Source organism: Homo sapiens, chromosome 4 (assembly GCF_000001405.40).
Source record: "Homo sapiens chromosome 4, GRCh38.p14 Primary Assembly".
Lineage (NCBI taxonomy): Eukaryota > Metazoa > Chordata > Mammalia > Primates > Hominidae > Homo > Homo sapiens.
Genome location: NC_000004.12, coordinates 170,493,770 through 170,518,842, shown reverse-complemented (window position 1 = coordinate 170,518,842; position 25,073 = coordinate 170,493,770). Strand labels below are relative to the sequence as shown.

The 25,073-nt window shown below is 38.4% G+C and overlaps 2 annotated features.

The window, feature by feature from the left end:
• Nucleotides 7,167–8,366: an enhancer, noted in NCBI's record as "MED14-independent group 3 enhancer chr4:171431628-171432827 (GRCh37/hg19 assembly coordinates)". NCBI's record gives its function as "activates an origin of replication core promoter dependent on BRD2, BRD4, P300/CBP and CDK7 cofactors, and independent of MED14, by STARR-seq in HCT116 cells {active_cell/tissue: HCT116}" and the evidence as "EXISTENCE:reporter gene assay evidence [ECO:0000049][PMID:35650434]".
• Nucleotides 21,446–21,755: an enhancer, noted in NCBI's record as "active region_22149". NCBI's record gives its function as "activates an Ori minimal core promoter by ATAC-STARR-seq in GM12878 lymphoblastoid cells {active_cell/tissue: GM12878}" and the evidence as "EXISTENCE:reporter gene assay evidence [ECO:0000049][PMID:35858748]".

Sequence of the window (25,073 nt, the reverse complement as noted above, 5' to 3'; positions counted from 1 at the left end):
ACAAGTTTAATAACACATATATCATATATATGTATGGGAGATAATTGGAAAATGAATAAATCTGAAAGTAATGGCTTTGAATTCAGGCCTAAATACCATCTTCAACTGAAGCAAAGAAAAAAAGGATGTTGAGATGACCAGAAAAAGGACAAACAAAGGTAAGGTTTGTTATGCAGATTTAAGTCTGTGCCTTCTCCATTAATAAGATGTTCCAGTGATTTAGAATCTTATTTTCTTCCTGGTACAGAAAGAGAGAGAGAGAGACATTTACAAGTGGTGATTTCCTTTATAGATGTAAATTTCCCTTACCAAATGGTAACTTCTACTGTTGTTCTTCTCAAACTTCTCCTGGGATTGCAGTCTCTCAAAATAGCTCAAAATAATCCTTATGCCAAAAAGATGTAACTGAGTACCCCCATTTTTGTAAGATATATTTTTTTCACTCTTGTTTTTTCTGCCTTTTTCCCTGTTCCCCACTTTCTGCTTAGCTTTTTAGAAATATAATTATAACATTTTACCTTCCCTTCACTAGACACTCCCTACAGGGCAAGCTTATCTAACCAAGTGCTTACTTGACAGCCTCAGAGCAGAACTCTCTCTCAGGAGATTGCCTCAAGAGACAATAGTCAATGTCCAACCAAAAGTACAACTTAGTTCTGCCTGCAATGGTGCCAACTCAACCACCTGGTAAATAAGGCACCAAAGCAAGTCACAGGGACTCCCACCTGTGTTTCCCTCCCCTGCATGCCATTCATGCCAAGTCCTCTTTTAAAGCACCTGCTTTCTCTCCAAAAGCAAAGAGATACCCTTAAAGCAGGAGCCTATATTTCTTCCCCTAAGCTAACTTTGACATAAAACATCACTTTCTTTAGACCAGACCTCACTCTTGTTAGTTGAACTCTTCAAGTGATGAGCAACTGAACCTGCATTATGGTCACAGTTTTGGTGGCCACTCTGGGTGAATCCAAGCCTGACAGCCAATTTTCACTTTGGGTGAGTCATGGGGTCACCTCTGAGCACCAGCTGCTAGTGGCTAGTGGAACCCATAAAATGAACATTAGAGAACTCCCAAGCAGCTTCCAAAAACACTTTTGTTTTGGGGAACCTCCTTTTCCCCTCCTGGCACAATGTCTGCTACCTCCAGCATTTCACTGGTAAAAATAAAGTGAACTCTGAAGAAGCCAGCAAGCTTTGGTACTGAACAAACAGGTTGGAGTGCATCTGACCACCCTATGCCTCTTTTCAGGTGTCACTGGGGCCCTGCTCTATTTAGACTTGGCCTCTAGTAACTCTATTTGAGCATTTTATGCATTTGTATTTTTTGTATGTGTGGCACTATAGGAGCTTTGCTCAGCTCAGACTCAGCTGTATATGGAGCCATTTGAAACTGGGGCAGGGGATTCAGGACTCCACCCAGCCCCTTGACTGGAAGCATGCTGCTAATTTGGAAGCATGCTGCTAATTTTGTCTTATTATTCTTTTAGCTTATCACAATCCTTAAAAACCTCTGAACTAGACAAAATTGCATTGCCTTTAATAAAAACGATATTTTCATATCTTCTCGTAACCTTTTACCAAAAACACACTCAACTTTCCTTATACACCAATTACACATTTACAATGTTAACTAAATTACATATTTCATATGTTACACATTTATAATTATACATTTACAATGTTATCTTTCAGCAATTACACATTTACAAGGTTAACTCTCAGCAACTTTTATTTTTGGTGAAAAACTTGGTAAGTAAGCAATTTTAACCTGTATCTGATTGTAGAGCACAGGACAAAGACAGAACTGCAGACCAATATCTGACTCTTCCCAGCCTACCCAGGGGACCTGGCTAACTTCATATGTCACTAGGACTTACCTAGAATCTAATGACTGTAAAACAGACAAGTCACATAATTATTATAAGTCATAAAGGCAGTTTATGACCTTAAAGCATCTAGCAAACAGTATCAGTCCTGCCTAATTTAGACCAAATGTCTGAATTTTGGAGATGGTATTTTCATTTTACTTTACTGATAATCTTTAACTGCCTTTATTTTTCAAAGATTATTGGTGTCACATGAGCTAAAGGCTTTAAAGTTTCTAATTATCTGATAATATGTTTGATTTAAATGCTTGTTATTTTTAAGCCAAATAATTAGAGCTCTTTTATATAAACCTCATGCACTATATATATATATGTATATATATATACATATATACACACACACACACACACACACACACACACATATATACAAACAAAAGCAGATTTGGTAGTTTTAAGATTTTTCATGTGTCAGTTTTTAAGTTTCTCTTTCTCATTTTCGATTATCAGTCTTTTAATTACCTGTTCTCTGTCCTGATTGTCAGCTAGGGAGCTCTAAATTTTTATTACTAAAAGGCCAACTCTTAGGTGAAACAAGATAGAGAATTCATATTTTACCCAAACCAAGCAAAAATAGTGTGAATAACATTTCAGTTAAGATGGCCAGAAAAAGCAGACACTCTTACACAGGTAGATTGTCTTAAAGATGTAAGTTAATTAAATTACTGGCATTAAATTACTGGTGGAGAATTTTAAGGAAAAAAACTAGGAAAGCATGCAGTTTCTAGGGCCTAATAAGCAGGTATAGCTGAAAGGCGAAACAGATTCCCCAAATTAAGGATCCCATATTTACACCTCTCAAAAGAGGTGAAGACCATGGGACCAGAGAGTATAATGTTTTTACCATGTATTTTACTGCAAGGACATTCTCCTGAGGCTGGTGGGCAACCCAAAGCCAATCAGACCATTTTATAATTAGCATTGCTAATTTTTTTGTTTTTCAGAGTCCAGAAACCTTTTCTGTTTTGACCTATTTACAGCTTTTAACAGTTGGCTAAAGTACACTTCTGTGAGCAAAATTTTAAGCATATTACTTTCTTTCTACCTGATTTCTCAAAAATTTGAAAGCTATTTGTAAATATACTTAATTTAATCTGTTCTCTTTCATAACAGGACATAATTAGAAACACTGGATTTTTTTTTACCAATGCTTTGACTGGAATAGCATGCTTTCAGATACAAACAGACTACTCTAAGGGATCAAGATGAACTTTTAGAGTCAATAAAAGCCCCTTGGAAAAACTGGCTTCATATCTTATCTACACAGTCCCTATACAGGGTTCATGGCCTGTAGTAAGTAAAGAATGTCACTTTCCAACAAACCTAGGAGCCACAAGTTATCTTGGGACCTTGAGAGGAGAGGAATTCACTTAATCCATACAGGTATTGGTAGGCATAAATAAATTCATGGCTGGGCTTGAGGCTTTAAAAAGTCTAATCCATAATTCCTCATAAATAAGAATTCCAGCAAAGCCAATTTTAAAGGGATCCTATATGGTAGACAACTATTTTTTTCTGCACTTCATGAAAATAATCAGGCCAAGCATCATAAGACTAAAACTTATTTTGCAAATAAATTTGTCCTACTATGAGTTGTTTTTAGTAAAAACAGGCTACAGAAAGAAAACCTATGTTTCTGAAAAATACTACAGTATACCTGTTGTTAGATTCTAGTCTTGTTCATTGTACTTAAATTTTTATTATTTTCTGCAATTTGGACTAAATCTTTAATTCTTTCTTTGCTACAAGTCTCTAATGCATTTGAATCTTTCTTCCATTTTTCTAATTTGGAATCAATGAAATTACTACTACCTTATTTCTTGTAATACAGGTGAGAAAAACATGTCAGACTACCACTGCCTCCCTCAAAGCACTAATGATGCTTTGAGTCCAACATTTGGATAAATTGTGCCAAACATTAACCTTTGTTTTTCTTCTATTTCCATAAAAATACGTCTTATTAAAAATCTGTTTATGTTTATCACATACAGAGGCCCACCCCGTCTGTAACACAACCTCCTAGATTGGAAACAGCTATTGATTCATACTCAAGAACTGGACAGAGGTTATGACCACCTTCATGAACATTCATAGCTCCTCCTGTAACCTACTAAATACATATTTAATCAACCTGTCATCAAATCTTCATAGGAGGTCCAGTTACAACTGGCATTGGGGAACCTGCATGATAATTAAGACTAACTGCAATGTATACTTCCTAGGTAATTTGGGAAATGTCTTGATACCCCTGTGAGACATATGCCAACAAATCAAAGCTTTGTCTTCACCCCATATTGTCACTAGATCAATGATTAGAATCCTGGTTTGGGTCAGGATCATCCTGGTGGTGAATGCTACTTGTAACTTTGGCTCTGGTTGCAAGAACAGGCATATTTCTCTGCTGTAGATTTTACTGCTGTTGCACCCTCTATATGGGAATGCAAAACAGGCTTTCCCAGAAACTTTCCAGACCTCATACCATCATTGTCCAACAAATATCATTTTTAAGTCCTCATACTTATGAATATTTCCAACTCCAAATAGATCAGTTTCATACTGATATCCAATAACTATGCCCCTTTCAGCAGGAAGTAGCCAGAATAAATATGGTACCCAAATCTCGTAGAAATGGCATAAAACCTGACAGTGGGGAATTATAACCGAGTACCCCCATTTTCCAAGCAATAGTTTAGCCTTTTTCTCTTTTATCTTCTCTTTCTCAGATCCCCACTTCCTAATTAGCTCTTTAGACATGTAGTTATAACATTTTACCTTCCCTTCACGAGACACTCCCTACAAGGCAAGCTTATCTAACTGTGTGCTTACTTAAAAGCTCCAGAGCAGAATGCTCTCCTACCAGGAGATTGCCTCAAGAGATGATAATCAGTTTACAACCAAAAGTATAACATAGTTCTGCCCACATTGGTGCCACCTTTACCGCCCAGGAGATAAAGCACTGAAGTGTGTCACACAGACTCCCACCTGAATTTTTCTCCCTGTGTGCCATTCATGCCGAGTGTCCTTTTTAAAGTGCCTACTTTCTGCTCCAAAACTAAAGCAGTACCCTTAAGGCAGGAGCCCATAATCCTTCCCCTAAGCTAACTTTGGAATCAAAGTCATTTTCTTCATACCAGACTTTGCTCTCGTTAATTGGACTCTGTAAGTGGTGAATGACTGAACCTACATTTTGGTTACAGAGACATATTTTGAGGTGGCATATTCTAGTCTCCTGCAGTTATAAATCAGGGTAGCATGTCCTGAACCCAATTACTACATTAATTTACACACTAGAGAACTTTTTCAAAGTGGACAGGTAAGTGGGAAAAAGAGTTATGCCACACAATGAAAATTAAAGATTTTTAACAGGAGGTAGGCAAAAAGAGATCCTAGAATTCTGGTGGAGCAGTTACCTTAGGAGAAAACCTCTAGACAAAAATAGGTGGGTAAAGAAAACTATGAATGGATCAATAGCAAATTTAGGACAATTTGAAATACCCAATGATGCAATTTTCACATTGACAGCTCCTTAAGGAATTTATGTATGGTCTTGAGGAAAGAAAACAACTTTTATCTGAGAAATATGAGCTCTTTCAAATTATCAGGCCCAGAAAGTCATTAAAATAAGACAGCAATCACCGCATACCTCCCCCTTTTTGAGCTGTTTTCATCTTTTGAAACTACAGGCTATTGTCACAAGTCGGTATAATTAACCAAATAATGCTGCACTGAAACCATAACCACACAATGTAGCTTAATAATGTATAGCCAATTAGTAATCAATGTTATTTCTATGAACCAGTGAGAATCCCTGACAAAAATCTTTGTATCAGCCCATTCCCTTTGCCCCATTTTTTTGCCTTTAAAAACCTCTCTGTAACAAAGGTCAAAGAAAGCTCATATCCAAGGGGACTTAGGCTGAGTCTTCTGAGCAGCTCTCCTCAGTTTGGCTCAGATAAACTCTTTAAATCATATTTTATGCTTCAGCTTCTTCCTTTTAGGATGAGAGACTCATATTACTTTTTAAAGGTTTTTCTACTTTTCTTTTTTTTTTTTATTATACTTTAAGTTTTAGGGTACATGTGCACATTGTGCAGGTTAGTTACATATGTAATTTACGTGTTTATATTTTGGACCTGACCATGTTTACCTCAGCTTTACTCCAGCCACACAATTAAACAGTTGAAATTGGTACTTTTCCTCAGCTCAGGTTTTCGCAATAGCTCTTCCTTCCTCTTTATATTCAGTTTTTATTTACTATCCTTTTATAATTGTTAGGTGCAGTCATATCTCTTTAGCCTGTTTAAAATGCATTTTATAGACATAAATGTATTCATTTTTGAATCCTTCCTTACAAAAATAGTTATTCTGATTTTTGAATAAATTTTACAGTCATTTTCAGCATCATTCACCAATTTGTAACACCTTAATTACACTCAATATTTAGAACCAAATACAGTATTGCTTATGAAGATTTGTAAAACAGATGCATGATTTTCCTTGATTCAGAACAAAGTTCATGAAGAAATACCTTGATTTCATTCTATAAATTTTTGCCCTTCCAAATCTCCAGGCTGTGACCATAAGGAAACAAAACAACCATTAAAAAACAAGAACATTTTGTTCAGCCAGCATGTATTCAATTACCGTAGCAATGAGGGTTGGGCAGTTCATGACACTCACATAGACAAGTAACCTCATCTTTGTTAATACAAAACTGTATCACCTTAGGTGTGTCCCTCAGGTATCGTGACAATTCTGCAAGACTTTCCACACTGCTCTGCTGTGATTTCTAGAGGTTTCCCCTTCCCTACTGGGTATTTCTTAGGCTGCAAAATCACATCCTTCTGTTGTTAGATATGCCACTTGGGGAGGCATTTTTAAGACTCAGAGAACATAGTCATCTGAAACATCCTAGAGTTTCATTGTACATATGTCCTTAGAATATCATGTAGAGGAAAATAGTTGTAACAAAACTCATACAAGCTCTGTCAATTCCTAACTATGTGCCACCAAAGTTCTGTTTTCTCTCTAAGCCTGTTTCTAGATCATTGCTATGCCTGTCTTCTCAAACTTTAGTGTGCTTAGATAGAAATCATGACTGGGCATGGTGGTTCACGCCTATCATCCCAGAACTTTTGTAGCTGGGCATGGTGGCAGGCACCTGTAGTCCCAGCTACTCGGGAGGCTGAGGCATGAGAATGGCGTGAACCCAGGAGGTGAAGCTTGCAGGGAGCCAAGATCATGACACTGCACTCCAGCCTGGGTGACAGAGCGAGATTCCATCTCAAAAAATAATAATAAAAAATAAAAAATAAAAATAAAAATAAAAATAAAAATAAAATCATCTGGAAATCATGTTGGATCCATATTCTATTTCAATGACCACGGAAACCAGTATTCTGTATTTTAGCAAACTTTCAAGTGGTAAATGGTACCAGTGCTGCTGGTCTGAAGCCACACTCTGAGTAACAAAGTACAAAAGACTCGTTGTGAACAATCTTAAGTTCTTTCAAAAAGCTGTGAAATCTCATGAAATGGAATCTAGAAGGTAAATTTCAGATGTTACTGTAAGTTACCTTTGGAGATGAGTCAATGGAAAAATTGATGTTGAGCAATTTAACAGCCGAAGGATCTTGGACCATAAAGGGTTGTGAGTAACCTTTCAGATCTGATGTAATCAATGAGAGATTATGCTAATGAGATATTGAAAAAAATTGACTGGGTTTTTGTTACAGAATAATCACCACTGAAAAATAATCTTCAAGGTTCCAAGATGGCCAAACAGGTACAGCTCCCAGCGTGAGCGACGCAGAAGACGGGTGATTTCTGCATTTCCAACTGAGGTACCAGGTTCGTCTCACTGGGGCTTGCCGGACAGTGGGTGCAGCCTACAGAGCAGGCAGGGCATCACCTCACCCAGGAAGTGCAAGGGGTCGGGGAATTCCCTTTCCTAGCCAAGGGAAGCCGTAACAGATGGTGCCTGGAAAATTGGGACACTCCCACCCTAATACTACACTTTTCCAACAGTCTTAGCAAACAACACACCAGGAGATTATATCCCACGCATGGCTTGGAGGGTCCTACACCCGGGGAGCCTCGCTCACTGCTGGCACAGCAGTCTGAGATCGAACAGCAAGGCAACAGCAAAGCTGGGGGAGGGGTGTCCGCCATTGCTGAGACTTGAGTAGGTAAACAAAGTGGCCTGGAAGCTCAAAACAGGTGGAGCAGACCACAGCCCAAGGAGACCTGCCTGCCTCTGTAGACTCCACCTCTGGGGGCAGGGCATAGCTGAACAAAAGGCAGCAGAAACTTCTGCAGACTTAAATGTCCCTATCTGACAGCTTTGAAGGGAGTGATGGTTCTCCCAGCATGCAGTTTGAGATCTGAGAATGGACAGAATGCCTCCTCAAGTGGGTCCCTACCCCCAAGTAGCCTAACTGGGAGATACCTCCCAGTAGGGACTGACTGACATCACATACAGCCAGGTGCCCCCCTGAGATGAAGTTTCCAGAGAAAGGATCAGGCAGCAACATTTACCATTCTGCAATATTTGCTGTTCTGCAGCCTCTGCTGGTGATACCCCGGCAAACAGGGTCTGAAGTGGACCTCCAGTAAACTGCAACAGACCTGCAGCTGAGGGTCCTGACTGTTAGAAGGAAAACTAACAAACAGAAAGGACATCCACACCAAAACCCCTCTGTACGTCACCATCATTAAAGACCAAAGGTAGATAAAACCACAAAGATAGGGACAAACCAGAGCAGAAAAGCTGAAAATTCTAAAAATCAGAGTGCCTCTTCTCCTCCAAAGGAATGCAGCTCCTCACCAGCAATGGAACAAAGCTGGGTGGAGAATGACTTTGACAAGTTGAGAGAAGAAGGCTTCAGACAATCAGTAATAACAAACTCCTCCGAGCTAAAGGAGGATGTTCGAACCCATTGCAAAGAAGCTAAAAACCCTGAAAAAAGATTAGACGAATGGCTAACTAGAATAAGCAGTGTAGAGAAGACCTTAAATGACCTGATGGAGCTGAAAACCATGGCACAAGAACTACGTGACACAGGCACAAGCTTCAGTAGCCGATTTGATCAGTAGAAGAAAGGGTATCAGTGATTAAAGAACAAGTGAATGAAATGAAGTGAGAAGAGAAGTTTAGAGAAAAAAAAGAGTAAAAAGAAATGAACAAAGTCTCCAAGAAATATGGGACTATGTGAAAAGACCAAATCTACGTCTGATTGGTGTACCTGAAAGTGACGGGGAGAATGGAACCAAGTTGGAAAACACTCTGCAGGATATTATACAGGAGAATTTCCCCAACCTAGAAAGGAAGGCCAACATTCAAATTCAGGAAATACAGAGAATGCCACAAAGATACTCCTCGAGAAGAGCAACTCCAAGACACATAATGTCAGATTCACCAAAGTTGAAGTAAAGGAAAAAATGTTAAGGGTACCCAGAGAGAAATGTCATGTTACCCACAAAGGGAAGCCCATCAGACTAACAGCAGATCTCTTGGCAGAAACTCTACAAGCCAGAAGAGAGTGGGGGCCCATATTCAACATTCTTAAAGAAAAGAATTTTCAACCCAGAATTTCATATCCAGCCAAACCAAGCTTCATAAGTGAAGGAGAAATAAAATCCTTTACAGACAAGCAAATGCTGAGAGATTTTGTCATCACGTGGCCTGCCTTACAAGAGCTCCTGAAGGAAGCACTAAACATGGGAAGGAACAACCAGTACCAGCCACTGCAAAAATATGCCAAATTGTAAAGACCATCAATGCTAGGAAGAAACTGCATCAACTAATGGGCAAAATAACCAGTTAACACCATAATGACAGGATCAAATTCATGCATAACAGTATTAAGATTAAATGTAAATGGGCTAAATGCTCTAATTAAAAGACACAGACTGCTAAATTGGATAAAGTCAAGACCCATCAGTGTGCTGTATTCAGGAAACCCATCTCACATGCAGAGACACACATAGGCTCAAAATAAAGGGATGGAGGAAGATCTACCAAGCAAATGGAAAAGAAAAAAAACAGGGGTTGCAATCCTAGTCTCTGATAAAACAGACTTTAAACCAACAAAGATCAAAAGAGACAAAGAAGGCCATTACATAATGGTAAAGGGATCAATTCAACAAGAAGAGCTAACTATTCTAAATATATATGCACCCAATACAGGAGCACCCAGATTCATAAAGCAAGTCGTTAGAGACCTAGAAAGAGACTTAGACTCCCACACAATAATAATGGGAGACTTTAACACCCCACTGTCAACATTAGACAGATCAACGAGACAGAAAGTTAACAAGGATATCCAGGAATTGAACTCAGCTCTCCACCAAGCAGACCTAATAGACATCTACAGAACTCTCCATCCCAAATCAACAGAATATAAATTTTTCCAGCACCACATCACACTTCTTCCAAAACTGACCACATAGTTGGAAGTAAAGCACTCCTCAGCAAATATAAAACAACAGAAATTATAACAAACTGTCTCTTATACCACAGTGCAAGCAAACTAGAACTCAGAATTAAGAAACTCACTCAAAACCACTCAACTACATGGAAACCGAACAACTTGCTCCTGAATGATTGCTGGGTAAATAACAAAATGAAGGCAGAAATAAACATGTTCTTTGAAACCAATGAGAACAAAGACACAACATACCAGAATCCCTGGGACACATTTAAAGCAGTGTGTGGAGGGAAATTTATAGCACTAAATGCACACAAGAGAAAGCAGGAAAGATCTAAAATTGACACCCTAACATCACAACAAAAAGAACTAGAGAAGCAAGAGCAAACACACTCAAAAGCTAGCAGAAGGCAAGAAATAACTAAGATCACAGGAGAAATAACTAAGATCAGAGGAGAACTGAAGGAGATAGAGACACAAAAAACCCTTCAAAAAAAATCAATGAATCCAGGAGCTGGTTTTTTGAAAAGGTCAACAAAATTGATAGACTGCTAGCAAGAATAATAAAGAAGAAAAGAGAGAAGAATCAAATAGACACAACAAAAAATGACCAAGGGGATATCACCACCGATCCCACAGAAACACAAACTACCATCAGAGAATACTGTAAACACCTCTACACAAATAAACTAGAAAATCTAGAAGAAATGGATAAATTTCTGGACACATACACCCTCCCAAGACTAAACCAGGAAGAAGTTGAATCCCTGAATAGAGCAATAACAGGTTCTGAAATTGAGGCAATAATTAATAGCCTACTAACCAAAAAAAGTCCAGGACCAGATGGATTCATAGCCGAATTCTACAAGATGTACAAGGAGGAGCTGGTACCATTCCTTCTGAAACTATTCCAATCAATAGAAAAAGAAGGAATACTCCCTAATTCATTTTATGAGGCCAGCATCATCCTGATACCAAAGCCTGGCAGAGACACAACAAAAAAAGAGAATTTTAGACCAATATCCCTGATGAACATCGATGCAAAAATACTCAATAAAATACTGGCAAACCAAATCCAGCAGCACATCAAAAAGCTTATCCACCATGATCAAGTGGTCTTCATCCCTGGGATGCATGGCTGGTTCAACATATGCAAATCAATTAATGTAATCCATCATATAAACAGAACCAAAGACAAAAACCACATGATTATCTCAATAGATGCAGAAAAGGCCATCAACAAAATTCAACAGCCCTTCATGCTAAAAACTCTCAATAAACTGGGTATTGACGGGACGTAACTCAAAATAAAAAGAGCTATTGATGACAAACCCACAGACAATATCACACTGAATGGGCAAACACCGGAAGCATTCCTTTTGAAAACTGGCACAAGACAGGGATGCCCTCTCTCACCACTCCTATTCAACATAGTGTTGGAAGTTCTGCCAGGGCAATCAGGCAGAAGAAAGAAATAAAGCGTATTCAATTAGGAAAAGAAGAAGTCAAATTGTCCCTGTTTGCAGATGACATTACCGTACATGTAAAAAACCCCATCACCTCAGCCCAAAATCTCCTTAAGCTGATAAGCAACTTCAGCAAAGTCTCAGGATACAAAATCAATGTGGAAAAATCACAAGCATTCTTATACACAAATAACAGACAAACAGAGAGTCAAATAATGAGTGAACTCCCATTCAGAATTGCTTCAAAGAGAATAAAATACCTAGGAATCCAACTTACAAGGGAAGTGAAGGACCTCTTCAAGGACAACTACAAACCACTGCTCAATGAAATAAAAGAAGACACAAACAAATGGAAGAACATTCCATGATCATGGATAGGAAGAATCAATATCATGAAAATGGCCATACTGCCAGGTAATTTATAGATGCAATGCCATCCCCATCAAGCTACCAATGACTTTCTTCACAGAATTGGAAAAAACTACTTTAAAGTTCACCTGGAACCAAAAAAGAGCCTGCATTGCCAAGACAATCCTAAGCCAAAAGAACAAAGCTGGAGGCATCACGCTACCTGACTTCAAACTATACTACAAGGCTACAGTAATCAAAACAGCATGGTACTGGTACCAAAACAGAGATATAGATAAATGGAACAGAACAGAGTCTGCAGAAATAATACCACACATCTACAACCATCTGATCTTTGACAAACGTGACAAAAACAAGAAATGGGGAAAGGATTCCCTATTTAATAAATGGTGCTGGGAAAACTGGCTAGCCATATGTAGAAAGCTGAAACTGGATCCCTTCCTTACACCTTATACAAAAATCAATTCAAGATGGATTAAAGACTTAAATGTTAGACCTAAAACCATAAAAACCCTAGAAGAAAACCTAGGCAATACCATTCAGGACATATGCATGCGCAAGGACTTCATGTCTAAAACACTAAAAGCAATGGCAACAAAAGCCAAAATTGACAAATGGGATCTAATTAAACTGAAGAGCTTCTGCACAGCAAAAGAAACTACCATCAAAATGAACAGTAAACGTACAGAATGGGAGAACATTTTTACAATCTACCCATCTGACAAAGGGCTAATATCCAGAGTCTACAAATAACTTAAACAAATTTACAAGAAAAAATCAAACAACCCCATCAAAAAGTGGACAAAGGATATGAACAGACGCTTCCCAAAAGAAGACATTTATTCAGCCAACAGACACATGAAAAAATGTTCATCATCACTGGCCATCAGAGAAATGCACATCAAAACCACAATGAGATACCATCTCACACCAGTTAGAATGGCGATCATTAAAAAATCAGGAAACAACAGGTGCTGGAGAGGATGTGGAGAAATAGGAACACTTGTACACTGTTGGTGGGACTGTAAACTAGTTCAACCATTGTGGAAGACAGTGTGGCAATTCCTCAAGGATCTAGAACTAGAAATACCATTTGACCCAGCCATCCTACTACTGGGTATACACCCAAAGGAATATAAATCATACTACTATAAAGACACATGCACACGTATATTTATTGTGGCACTATTCACAATAGCAAAGACTTGGAACCAACCCAAATGTCCATCAATGACAGACTGGATAAATAAAATGTGGCACATATACACCATGGAATACTATGCAGCCATAAAAAAGGATGAGTTCATGTCCTTTTTAGGGACATGGATGAAGCTGGAAATCATCATTCTCAGCAAACTTTCGCAAGGACAGAAAACCAAACACCGCATGTTCTCACTCATAGGTGGGAATTGAACAATGAGAACACTTGGACACAGGGTGGGGAACATCACACACGGGGGCCTGTCATGGGGTGGGAGGAGCGGGGAGAGATAGTATTAGGAGATATACCTAATGTAAATGACGAGTTACTGGGTGCAGCACAACAACATGGCACATGTATACATATGTAACAAACCTGCACGTTGTGCACATGTACCCTAGAACTTAACATATAATAAAATAAAATAAAATAAAATAAAAAGAAAAATAATCTTCAAAGCCACTGCCAACAGAAAAGCTGCCACTGCTACTGAGAATATCCCTTGATAGGGGAAGCTTTGCAGAATCATATATGGGAAGCCACCAAAAAGATCAGTTACTAGGAAGAGCACATAGGGTATTGTTTGAGGAGGCCTAATTTGTCAGAAATATTGACTTCTTCCTATCATATGTTATCTTACCTTCAAGCACAAAGAGTTTATTTCTGTGTATCTCAAAGTAGACTGGGGAATGCTAGTTTTTTATTAGAGGGCTTAATAAGAGGAGATAAGAATTTTCTAGCAAATGCCTGATAGGGTTGGAAGTCCAAAAATTTGTCATGGGATGAGGAGTACTCAAACCAATATTAGAACATCTGAAAAAATCCCCAGGCTTCGGGTTTTCAGTTGCAGAGCACAACCCATTAAACAACAGAGACATAAATGCTAATCAAACACTACATAAAGTCCACCTGCCTCTGACTCAGTTCTATCATTACCACTGAGCTGCTCCTTTAGCCTGAAACTCCAAATTCAGATTATGATTTTGTTTTGAGGACCTTCTTGTTTACTCATGGCTGTTTCCCCATGTTTCTCTGAATCTCAAACTACTATCTAGAAGTCAGCAGCAGATTGCTGAACTGTAAGCCTATTGCTAAATTAGTGATATAAATCTTATTTAAACTATTCCTGAATTCTGAGCCCCTGGGAACCCTGCTTGTCAACTCTGCCCTAAAGAATTATTGTCTGTGTATTATTACCTTCTCTAGTTTGCCAGTTACTCATCTATTTTAGCAATCTTATGCTAATGCCAATATATTGGGACTTATTCACAAGCTTTTTGAAAGACGCTTTATCAAAAGCATTGCAAAAATCAAGATAAATTATGCCTTTTCATAAATTAGTTACTTCATCAAAAAATTTAGATTAGCCTGACATAATTTATTTTTAGAGAATACAGGCTAAACACCTGCTCAACAACCCAGATAATTGATTCCATTATTTTAGACGAGATGTAACAGAGTAGCTCAGTTTTGAAGAAAAGTGCAAACAATTGCAACTACCTTCTCCATTAAAAGTCCAGAAAAATCACAGAAAATACTAGTCTATTAACTATGTGCAAGAATAGGGGTTTTTTTTGTAATTATTATCTAATTACCATCTGATATGATTCGGCTGTATCCTTACCCAAATCTCACCTTCAATTGTAGCTCCCACAATTCTCACCTGTTGTGGGAGAAACCTGGTGGGAGGTAATTGGTTCAAGGGGGCAGGTCTTTCTGGTGCTGTTCTCGTGATAGTGAATAAGTCTCATGAGATCTGATAGGTTTATAAAGAGGAGTTCCCCTGCATAAGTCTTCTCTCTTTTCCTTGCTGCCGTGTGAGAAGTCTCTTTGCTCCTCATTTGTCTTCCGCCATGATTGTGAGGCCTCCTCAGCCATGTGGAACTGTGAGTCCATTAAACCTCTTTCTCTTTATAAATTACCCAGTCTCAGGTATGTCATTATTAGCAGCGTGAGAACAGACCAATATACCATCTTTAGTAACTACATCCCAACTATTCTGAATAACTTGAAAATTGTTATCACCTTAATAAAAAGAAAATTTAGGAGAAGAAACAGCTGGGAGCAGTGACTCATGCCTGTAATCCCAGCACTTTGGGAGGCCAAGGCAGGCGGATCACCTGAAGCCAGGTGTTTGAGACTAGCCTGGCCAATATGGCAAAACCCTGTCTCTACTAAAAATATAAAAATTAGCCAGGCATGGTGGCACATGGCTGTAATCTCAGCTACTCAGGGGACTGAGGCAGTAGAATCGCTTGAACCTGGGAGGTGGAGATTGTAGTGAGCCAAGATAGCCCCACTGCACTTCAGCCTGGATGACAGAGTGAGACTCTGTCTCCAAAAAACAAAATAAAATAAAATAAAGAAGAGCCATATATTCCCATGCCTGTATGTAACTCATAAGACTACGACCACTCAGTGATTTCGTGAAATTTCCTCTATACCCAGGACTTAAATGAGTGGATACGTAAGGCAGAGTTGAAATTCTTTATAAATAAATAATCTGAGTCAGTTTGCATGTTTCTGAGAGACTGAGATGGTGGTTGGGGCTGTGAGTTAAAATTAGAAAACTTTTGGATACATGTGACAGAAACATATCACTACTTTAGTGAGGAGATGTTCTTGGCTAGGAAGCTAAAGTATAGAAAGAATACTGTGGGTGAAGATCAACCTCACAGACAACTAGAACCACTAGAACCAGGAATATGAACACTACTAGGACCTTCTCATGTTTGAAGATCAGCTGTACCCTTTCAGGCAGGCTGAAATATGAATATATATGAAATATACCCATATGGATATAGGTATGCACCTTGCACCCCTCAGACTCACATTAACAGCTTGCTACAACTGAGAGCAATTTGTTACTGGTTCCAGGTTTTTTTTAAATGGTGATCTTTATTGGGTTTAATATAAAAATGGTGATCTTTCTTGTGTTTAATTTAAACCAGGATTCAATTTGGCTGGTATGACTAACCTCTGGGAAAATAATATTTCTAACATCTCTGGTTAGAGAACGAGATGTACAGACAAGTTGGTAAACCAAGAGGTTTAAGCAAGTTCTCCCCATAAGAGAAGCTTAACCACAGTGTAATTTGTGATAAAAACACTTCTCCTGCCTCCCACCTTCCAAATGCACACGTTGTCAGTAAAACAAGCTATAAATAATAATTCCCACTGTCCATATCAGAAATAGACATGTCTAGACTTACCCACAATAAAATGAGAATTTAAACACACACACACACATTTAAAATGATTGTGCTTCCAAGCTTCCTATAACATTTAGAACAAATTAACAGTCATTTCAAGAGGGCAGAATGAGCACATATTTTCCCCCTTCTTCCCCTTCCCAAATGTGATTGAGATGATGGAAAAAATATAAATTTGGAATAAGAATGAAAGAGAGGAGAGAGGCAAAGTCCCCACCATCAGTGTTAAGCCTGTTTCACAAATTGCTGAGAGCTAGGAATGTGGTGGGATAACTCTGACCAAAAGAAACAGGCCTGAGGAAGTCACAGAACGGCACATAGGTTGAGAGAGCAGCAGACCAGGCAGGAGCAGCCCACCCCTTGATTACAGAGAAGCTCTGGGCTGAGACTCAGTGAGCATGCTGGAGGCTGGGAGGGAAAGGGAAAGCTTAAAACAGGAGACGTAATAGAAGATTTGTATGTGAACACTTCATTGCTCTTTCTTATTCCCAATTCAAATGCAAGCAGCGAGGTTTAACTACAGGCAAGACATGGAGGACTCATCTCTAAGGAACGGAACAAATAAGCTGAGAAGATCTAAGATTTCTTGTGAGGCGGGTGGAATAATGGGACAAAATCCTACTGATCCTTACATTTTAGAAGCCAGCAACCTATTAATTCTTACAGCCAACTGACCTAGCTAATAAAGGATTATACTCAAGGAGATACGTAAACAAATGTATGTGGTTTACACAAGCCTTCATTCTTCAAAATGTGTGAATAACCAAGGATGAACACAAATGGAACAAAAACCATGAAGAAGAAATAACTAGATAAGTAATCATTTTTTAAAAATTTCTGAGAAAGTAGAGATAATTCAAGAAAAAGCTTAAAAATCTAATCAGTGGGCCGGGTGCGGTGGCTCATGCCTGTAATCCCAGCACTTTGGGAGGCCGAGGCGGACGGATCACGAGGTCAAGAGATCGAGACCATCCTGGCCAACATGGTGAAACCCCATCTCTACTAAAAAAAACAAAAATTAGCTGGGTGTGGTGGTGCGCCCCTGTAGTCCTAGCTACTTGGGAGGCTGAGGCAGGAGAATCGCTTGAACTCGTGAGGTGGAGGTTGCAGTGAGCCGAGATCGCACTACTGCACTTCAGCCTGGGTGACAGAGCGATACTCCGTCTCAAAAAAAAAAAAAAGCAAAAAAAAAAAAATCTAATCAGTGTACACAAGACATGTAAGAATGTATTAATTCATAAAATAAGAATCAAATGCTATCAAAAGGAATAGGCAGAGAACAGGGAACAAACACTAAAAGGTTAAAAATATGCTTATGAAATGAACTAGAAGAAAAACTTTACAAAAACCTATGATTATAAAACAAAAGCCAAAGATATTGAAAATATGAACGATATTATCTTGTGTAGGCAAAAATCACATAAAAGCTATTGATTTTTAACATTCATAGTCAACTCATAATACAAAGAATTACAGATTTATAGAAAGTGTTAACATCCCTAACAATGTAAAAAGTAATAGGAAATAGGCAATAGGGAAGGAAGTCATCATCTCCTATAAAATGGCATCACTTGTTGATTAAAATGATGGGAACAAGAAATACAGCTAGTTACAGTTACATAAGTAAACTAGAAACGAAAGCAACAGTAAAAGTAGCAAGAACATGGAGAAGAATGTGGGCCAAGAAGAGATGAGCTAAATTTTCATCTTTCAAGGTAGGAAGGCATTAAGGCATGGGATTCTGTTTAAAGAGATTAAGTTCAGAAACAGTGGTGTAAACATTATCTAGAGTTATGGAGGCAGCCACAAAGAAGCTGAAAACATAAATGATAAAAAGTTGTTGCTTCTGGGGAGTGGGAAGATTAGGAGGTATAAAGCAGGAGAGTGGTCCTTTTATCAAAAGCCATTCATGATATAGTAGTGGATATTTTGTCAAGTGCTCACATTATTTTGATTTAAAGTAATTACAGGTAAATATTGCCCATATAGATTAAAGTCAATTAATGTTATGGAAGTTAAGCCTTAAAAGCATTTAAGTGTTCCATTCTATATCAACTTCATTTAGGGTATGGAGTAAGAAAGTGATACTTTAGCAGCCTCTGAAACAACAGTGGAAAACAGAAATGTCAAAATTTCAAGGGAAAAAACATGTATGATAACTTCCAAAAATAAAGATTTGTGAAGTCTGCATCCCTAGAAGCACTCAGGAATACGTTATTGTACGTAACCTTGGGGGTATTTCAAAATAAATAGATCCATTATGCTCAAGATTGGATAACTACAGGACTGGCAATACCTAGAAAGCCAGGCCCAGATAAGGACACAGTTGGGCAACTATGGGGACCTAACGTAAGACTACAGCTAGTAGAATATTATTCTGGAGATGTACGTGAGTGACACAATCCTAAATAAAGACCCTCATATTTGTCAGTGTGCTGTCTCTCCTCCCCTTAGGTAACAAAATGCCTCCTTCTCTGGGCTGACTCCACTTCCACTCCCTACCACCAGCCTCATGTCTGAGCTCCTATTCAAGATCAATCTAGCAGGGAGAACTTCCTTTATCATGGCATTATGTCTCTATGTGGAAAGACCCCATCAGAATTCTACTCCAGCCTCTCTTTTCCACTTAAGTCAGTTCTGAAAGGAAAGGAAGTGATTTACCTGACAGGTGGAATTGACGGAAGAATGAGGCATCTATAGCCCTGACCCTTCTTATCTTGTTGCTCTTCATTCAGGATTTCTGTGCCTGCAGAGAACAAGTATACACCTCTGCTCTCTGCAGGGAGTGATGTGGGGCCACCCTAACCAGAAAGTCATGTAGTTTTCCACATTACCTGATTTGGGGTAACACTATGCCTGATTTTGGAGGAAACTATTAGAAGGGTTATTGTTTTCAAATACTCAAGCCACATTGTCCAGTTGCTCCATTGGTAGCAAAACTTCCATTTATGATCAAAGTATTCATTATGCAAACACCAACTGAGGGAGAGCTGATTTGGCAGTACAGTATATAAAAAGGCTTTGGGATTTTAGTTGTCTAAATATAAGCTAACAGTTATGGATAAACTAATGTTAATTATATGCCGTCACAATCCCTCTTTTAGGAATCTAACCCTTTAAAATAGTGATAGAAATATGTTTATGAACTTGAGACACAGCACTCTTTGCCATAGAAACAAGTGTTTACTGAATCCTAAAGGAAAGCAAGACTGGTCTCAAATAATCTTAGGGAAAAAAAACTTATTCAGTGAGTTTTAATGGAGTCTCACAGAGCTCTGGGATTTCGGAGTTCTGCTTCAGGGAGCTGTCAAGGAGAACGCAGTAAGTCATAGTTCCAGGTCCCCCACACAGCCCCTCAGCCTCCACCAGCTGAGCCTCACTTTGGACGGTTTACTGCCAGATTGTATTTGGGAAAGAAAAGGCTTACTTTGCCTTTTTTATACTAGGTTTACAGGATCTGGCCTCTAACTCTCGCTGAATTCACCTTCATTTCCATTTCTGCTGTGGCCACTAACACTGCCCTTTGAGTTTGAATTATTTCCCTTCTCTTCTCTCTTCTTTCTTCTCTCTTCTCTTTTCTTCTCCTCTTTTCTCTTCTCTCTCTTCTTTCTTTCCTTCTTTTTTTCTTCCTTTCCTTCCTTCCTTCCTCTCTTCCTTCCTTCTTCCCTTCATTCCTTTTTCTGCCTTTCATCTGTCTTTTCCTCAACAAGCCTTCATTGAATGCCTGATGCTAATCAATGTTTCTATTCTTCCTTCTTGATCTTTTTCTGACCTCAAACAACTTCCAGTTTCCTCTCCTGGTAACTTACCAAATTTTGGAAGCAGTGTCAAATTCACCCCCATTATTGGTAACAAAAAAAACTCAGACAAAATTGACCATAAAGATACTTTTTAAATGCACATGAAAATGACTAGATTGAATAACTGCCCAGTGGAATATGTAGCGGTAGCAGCTGCTTCCTCTCCAACTCATGTTGAATATTCTCTTCTCAAAAACATTCAAGGTCGTCAGCTTCTTTGTTACCAGGCTACCCTTTTCCAGAGTCTCTTCAAAACTAACACTTTCTGATTCCATGCTTGGTCTAATCTCATAAAATTTATAGTATTTTGTCTTTTTCCCTCGAGGCCGGTTATTCTCATCAGCACATTTAAGCTAAATGACTGATCCTATGTATTTTAAATGTGCCCAAATATCATTGTCTAAGAGTTGACTTCACTGTCTCAATCATGCAAATCAAGAAAGGAGAGAATTTTAGAGTCCTTGGGAAAGAGATTTATAGACAAAGAAGTTTGGAACATGTTTCATACTATACCAATATAGGCAGTTGCCTGTACTTTTGTGCAGTTCCCTATTTCCTATCTAGAAACAGTAGCACTAAAAAGCTGATGTGGCATTGAGCCAGTGAGTGAACAGCTCTATAATATGCTTATTTCACACATTTTAAATCCCATTTTCTCCAAGTAGGAAGCCTTTTATTAATGGAATATGAAGCAGCTTCCAGTATCTAATTAGGTCTAATTTAATTCCTTTCCACAGCCCTACAGGGTGGCAAGTCAGAGGTAAATAGCAAGCGGGCTTAATGAAGCTGCTGTAGGAGAAAAAGTAATGTAAAGTTTCAAAAACCATAAAGCTTTCAGTTGATACTTATTTCACTGCAGATACCTCAAGGAACTTAATCGAAGTCCTTTAGGAAAAAAATGCAGAACTCTGACCTTGTGAATCTACTACCTTGCCTTTGAAAAAGACAGAAAAGAATATTTTATTACCATTCTCTCACCCGTCACTTATGTTTTTTTCTGGTGAGGAGGTGAGCAGGGAAGAATCAGAGGAGATCGACTGAAAAAGCCCTCCGTAGAACAAAGTGAAAGTGAGGCTTAGATCAGTTCACAGAAATCCAGGAAGCCATCAGGGGGACAGTTGGTGGCACTCTGTGACCAGAAGAGAGGAAAGAACACTGACGAGAAGCGAGGGTAGGGAAGCTGGAGCGGGCACACACGGCTCTGGTCCCTTTTTCTCCTGATTCCGTGACCTTGTGAGTGATGGAGACTCCCACGCATGCAGACTGCCTGCAAATGTGAGGGAGTTGGAGCGGCACTTGTCCTCTCCCGCACACTTCAGCCTAAAATAGAAGAAAATACTTCAGCTGTGATAAATGCGTGTCTGATTTTAGCTTACCTTGCGCACACATCAATTAAGGCAGGTTTGGTGACTCCAGGGACATTGTAGATTTCTGCTGCATAATCAGAAAATATTAATAGTACTTTGGAAAACACTATTAGGTAGTAAATGTACCCATGGTGGGGGGGCAACAGTTTGAACTGATTTGAGTGAATGAAATGATAGACTTAAGGAATATTTTTTAAGAGATGATCTTTCTGATTATTATAATAAAGTGTTTATTAGGTAATACTGGATATTATTAAAGACACTCTTTTTAAAACTGCAAAACATTTTACATAGCTGAGAATGAGGAAAGAATAAGAGAAGTTATATGCAAGTGTTGTAAATGGCAGTATAAAATAGCCCTTTTAAAATTATGGTTAAACTAAAACGTGGACTTAGTGACTGAAATTAAAGTATATCAACAAATCTTTGTTTAAAAACAAGAACATCTACACATTTTAAAATATATATTCTACAAGTTATTGCTCATCTAAAGAATATGGCTAACAGCACACAATTTTTATCTATGAAAGAATAAATCTGCCTTTTAAGATCAACTCTTTTCTCCTAAAAGAAAATGTGAAGGGACTATTCACAATAACAAAAAGATGGAATCAACCCAAATGCCCATCAATGGTGGGTAGACTAAAAAAAAAATGTGGTATGTAGACACCATGGAATAATACTATGCAGCTATAAAAAAGAATGAAATCATGTCATCTGCAGCAACATGGAATCAGTTGGAGGCCATTATCCTAAGCAAACTAACAGAAATGGAGACCCAAGTACCACATGTTTTACTTATAAGTGAGAGCTAAACACTGGGCACACATGGACATAATGATGGAACAACAGACCCTGGAGAATACAAGAGGAGAAAGGGAGGGGAACAAGTGTTGAAGTTACCTATTGGGTGCTATCACCACTTCCTAGGTGATGAGATCAATCATACCCCAAATCTGAGTGTCATGCTATATATTCATATAACAAACCTGCAAATGTACTTCCTGAATCTTAAAAGTTAAAAAGATAGTGATGGCAACACTTAAAAATATTTTTAATTATCAGACCTATTCTATTTTATTAAGACACTTATTTTTAAGTTCTGGGATAATGAAGGATGGTTTTGTTACATAGGTAAACATGCGCCATGGCGCTTTGCTGTACCTACCAACACATCACCTAGGTATTAAGCCCAGCATCCATTAGCTATTCTTCCTGATAGCTCCCCCAACCCTACCCTCTGACAGGCCCCAGTGTGTGTTGTTCCCCTCCCTGTGTCCATGTGTTCTCATTGTTCAGCTCCCACTTATAAGTGAGAACATGCAGTGTTTGGTTTTCCGTTTCTGCATTAGTTTGCTGAGGATAATAGCTTCCAGCTCCATCCATGTCCCTGCAAAGGACATGATCTCATCCCCCTTTATGGATGCATAGTATTCCATGGTGTGTATGTACCACATTTTCTTTATTCAGTCTATCATTGATGGGCATTTGGGTTAATTCCATGTCTTTGCTCAATAATGCTGCAATGAACATACACATGCAGGTATCTTTATAAAAGAATGATTTATATTCCTTTGGGTATGTACCCAGTGATGGGATTGCTGGGTCAAATGTCATTTCTGATTCTAAGTCTTTGAGGAATTGCCTCATCATCTTCCACAATGGTTGAACTAATTTACACTCTCACCAACAGTGTAAGAGCATTCTATTTCTCCACAGCCTCACCAGCATCTGTTGTTTCTTAGCTTTTTAATAATCATTCTGACTGGCATTAGATGGTATCTCATTATGGTTTTGATTTGCATTTATCTAATGATTAGTGATGTTGAGCTTTTTTTCATATGTTTGTTGGCCACATAAATGTCTTCTTTTCAGAAGTGTCTGTTCATGTCCTTTGCCCACTTTTTAATGGGGTTCTTTTTTTTCTTGTAAATTTGTTGAAGTTCCTTGTAGATTGTGGATATTAGACATTTATCAGATGTCTAGATTGCAAAAAAAATTTTCTCACATTCTGTAGTTTGTTCACTCTGATGACAGTTTATTTTGCTGTGCAGAAGCTCTTTATTTTAATTAGATACCATTTGTCAATTTTTGCTTTTGTTGCAATTGTTTTTAATGTTTCTGTCATGAAATCTTTGCCCCATGCCTATGTCCTGAATGGCATTGCCTAGATTTTCTTCTAGGCTTTTTATAGTTTTGGATTTTACATTTAAGTCTTTAATTCATCTTGAGGTAATTTTTGTACAAGGTGTAAAGAAATGGTCTAGTTTCAATTTTCTGAATATGGCTAGCCAGTTCTCCCAGCACCATTTATTAAATAGATAATCCTTTCCCCATTGATTGTTTTTGTCAGATTGGTTGAAGATCAGATGGTTGTAGATGTGTGGTCTTTTTTCTGAGGTCTCTGTTCTGCTCCATTGCTCTGTGTGTCTGTTTTTGTACCAGTACCATGCTATTTTGCCTATTGTAGCCTTGTAGTATAGTTTAAAGTCAGGTAGCATGATACCTCCAGCTTTGTTCTTTTTTGCTTAGGATTGTCTTGGCTTTACGGGCTCTTTCTTGCTTCCATATGAATTTTAAAGTAGTTTTTTTTTTCTAATTCTGTGAAGGATATAAATGATAGTTTAATGGGAATACCATTGAATCCATTAATTACTTTGGGCAGTATGGCCATTTTCACAATGTTGATTCTTCCTATCCATGAGCATGAAATGTTTTTCCATTTGTTTGTGTCCTCTGATTTCCTTGAGATGTGGTTTGTAGTTCTCCTTAAAGAGGTCCTTCACTTCTCTTCTTAGCTGTATCCCTAGGTATTTTATTTTCTTTGTAGCAATTGTGAATGGGAGTTCATTGATGATTTAGCTCTCTGCTTGTCTATTGTTGGTGAATAGGAATGCTTGTGATTTTTTTCACATTGGTTTTGTATCCTGAGACTTTGCTGAAGTTGCTTATCAGCTTAAGAAGCTGTTGGGCTGATGTAGTGGGGTTTTCTAGATATAGAATCATGTCATTGGCAAACAGAGACAACTTGACTTCCTCTCTTCCTATTTGAATACCTTTTATATCTTTTTCTTGCCTGATTGCTCTGGCCAGAACTTCCAATACTGTGTTGAATAGGAGTGGTGACAGAGGGAATCCTTGTCTTGTGCTGGTTTTCAAAGGGAATTCTTCCAGCTTTTGCCCATTCAGTATGATATTGGCTGTGGATTTGTCATAAATTGCTCTTATTATATTGAGGTATGTTCCATCATTACCTAGTTTATTGAGAGTTTTTAACATGAAGCATTGTTAAATTTTATCAAAGGCTTTTCTGTGTCAGGCAAGATAATGATGTGGTTTTTAAAAT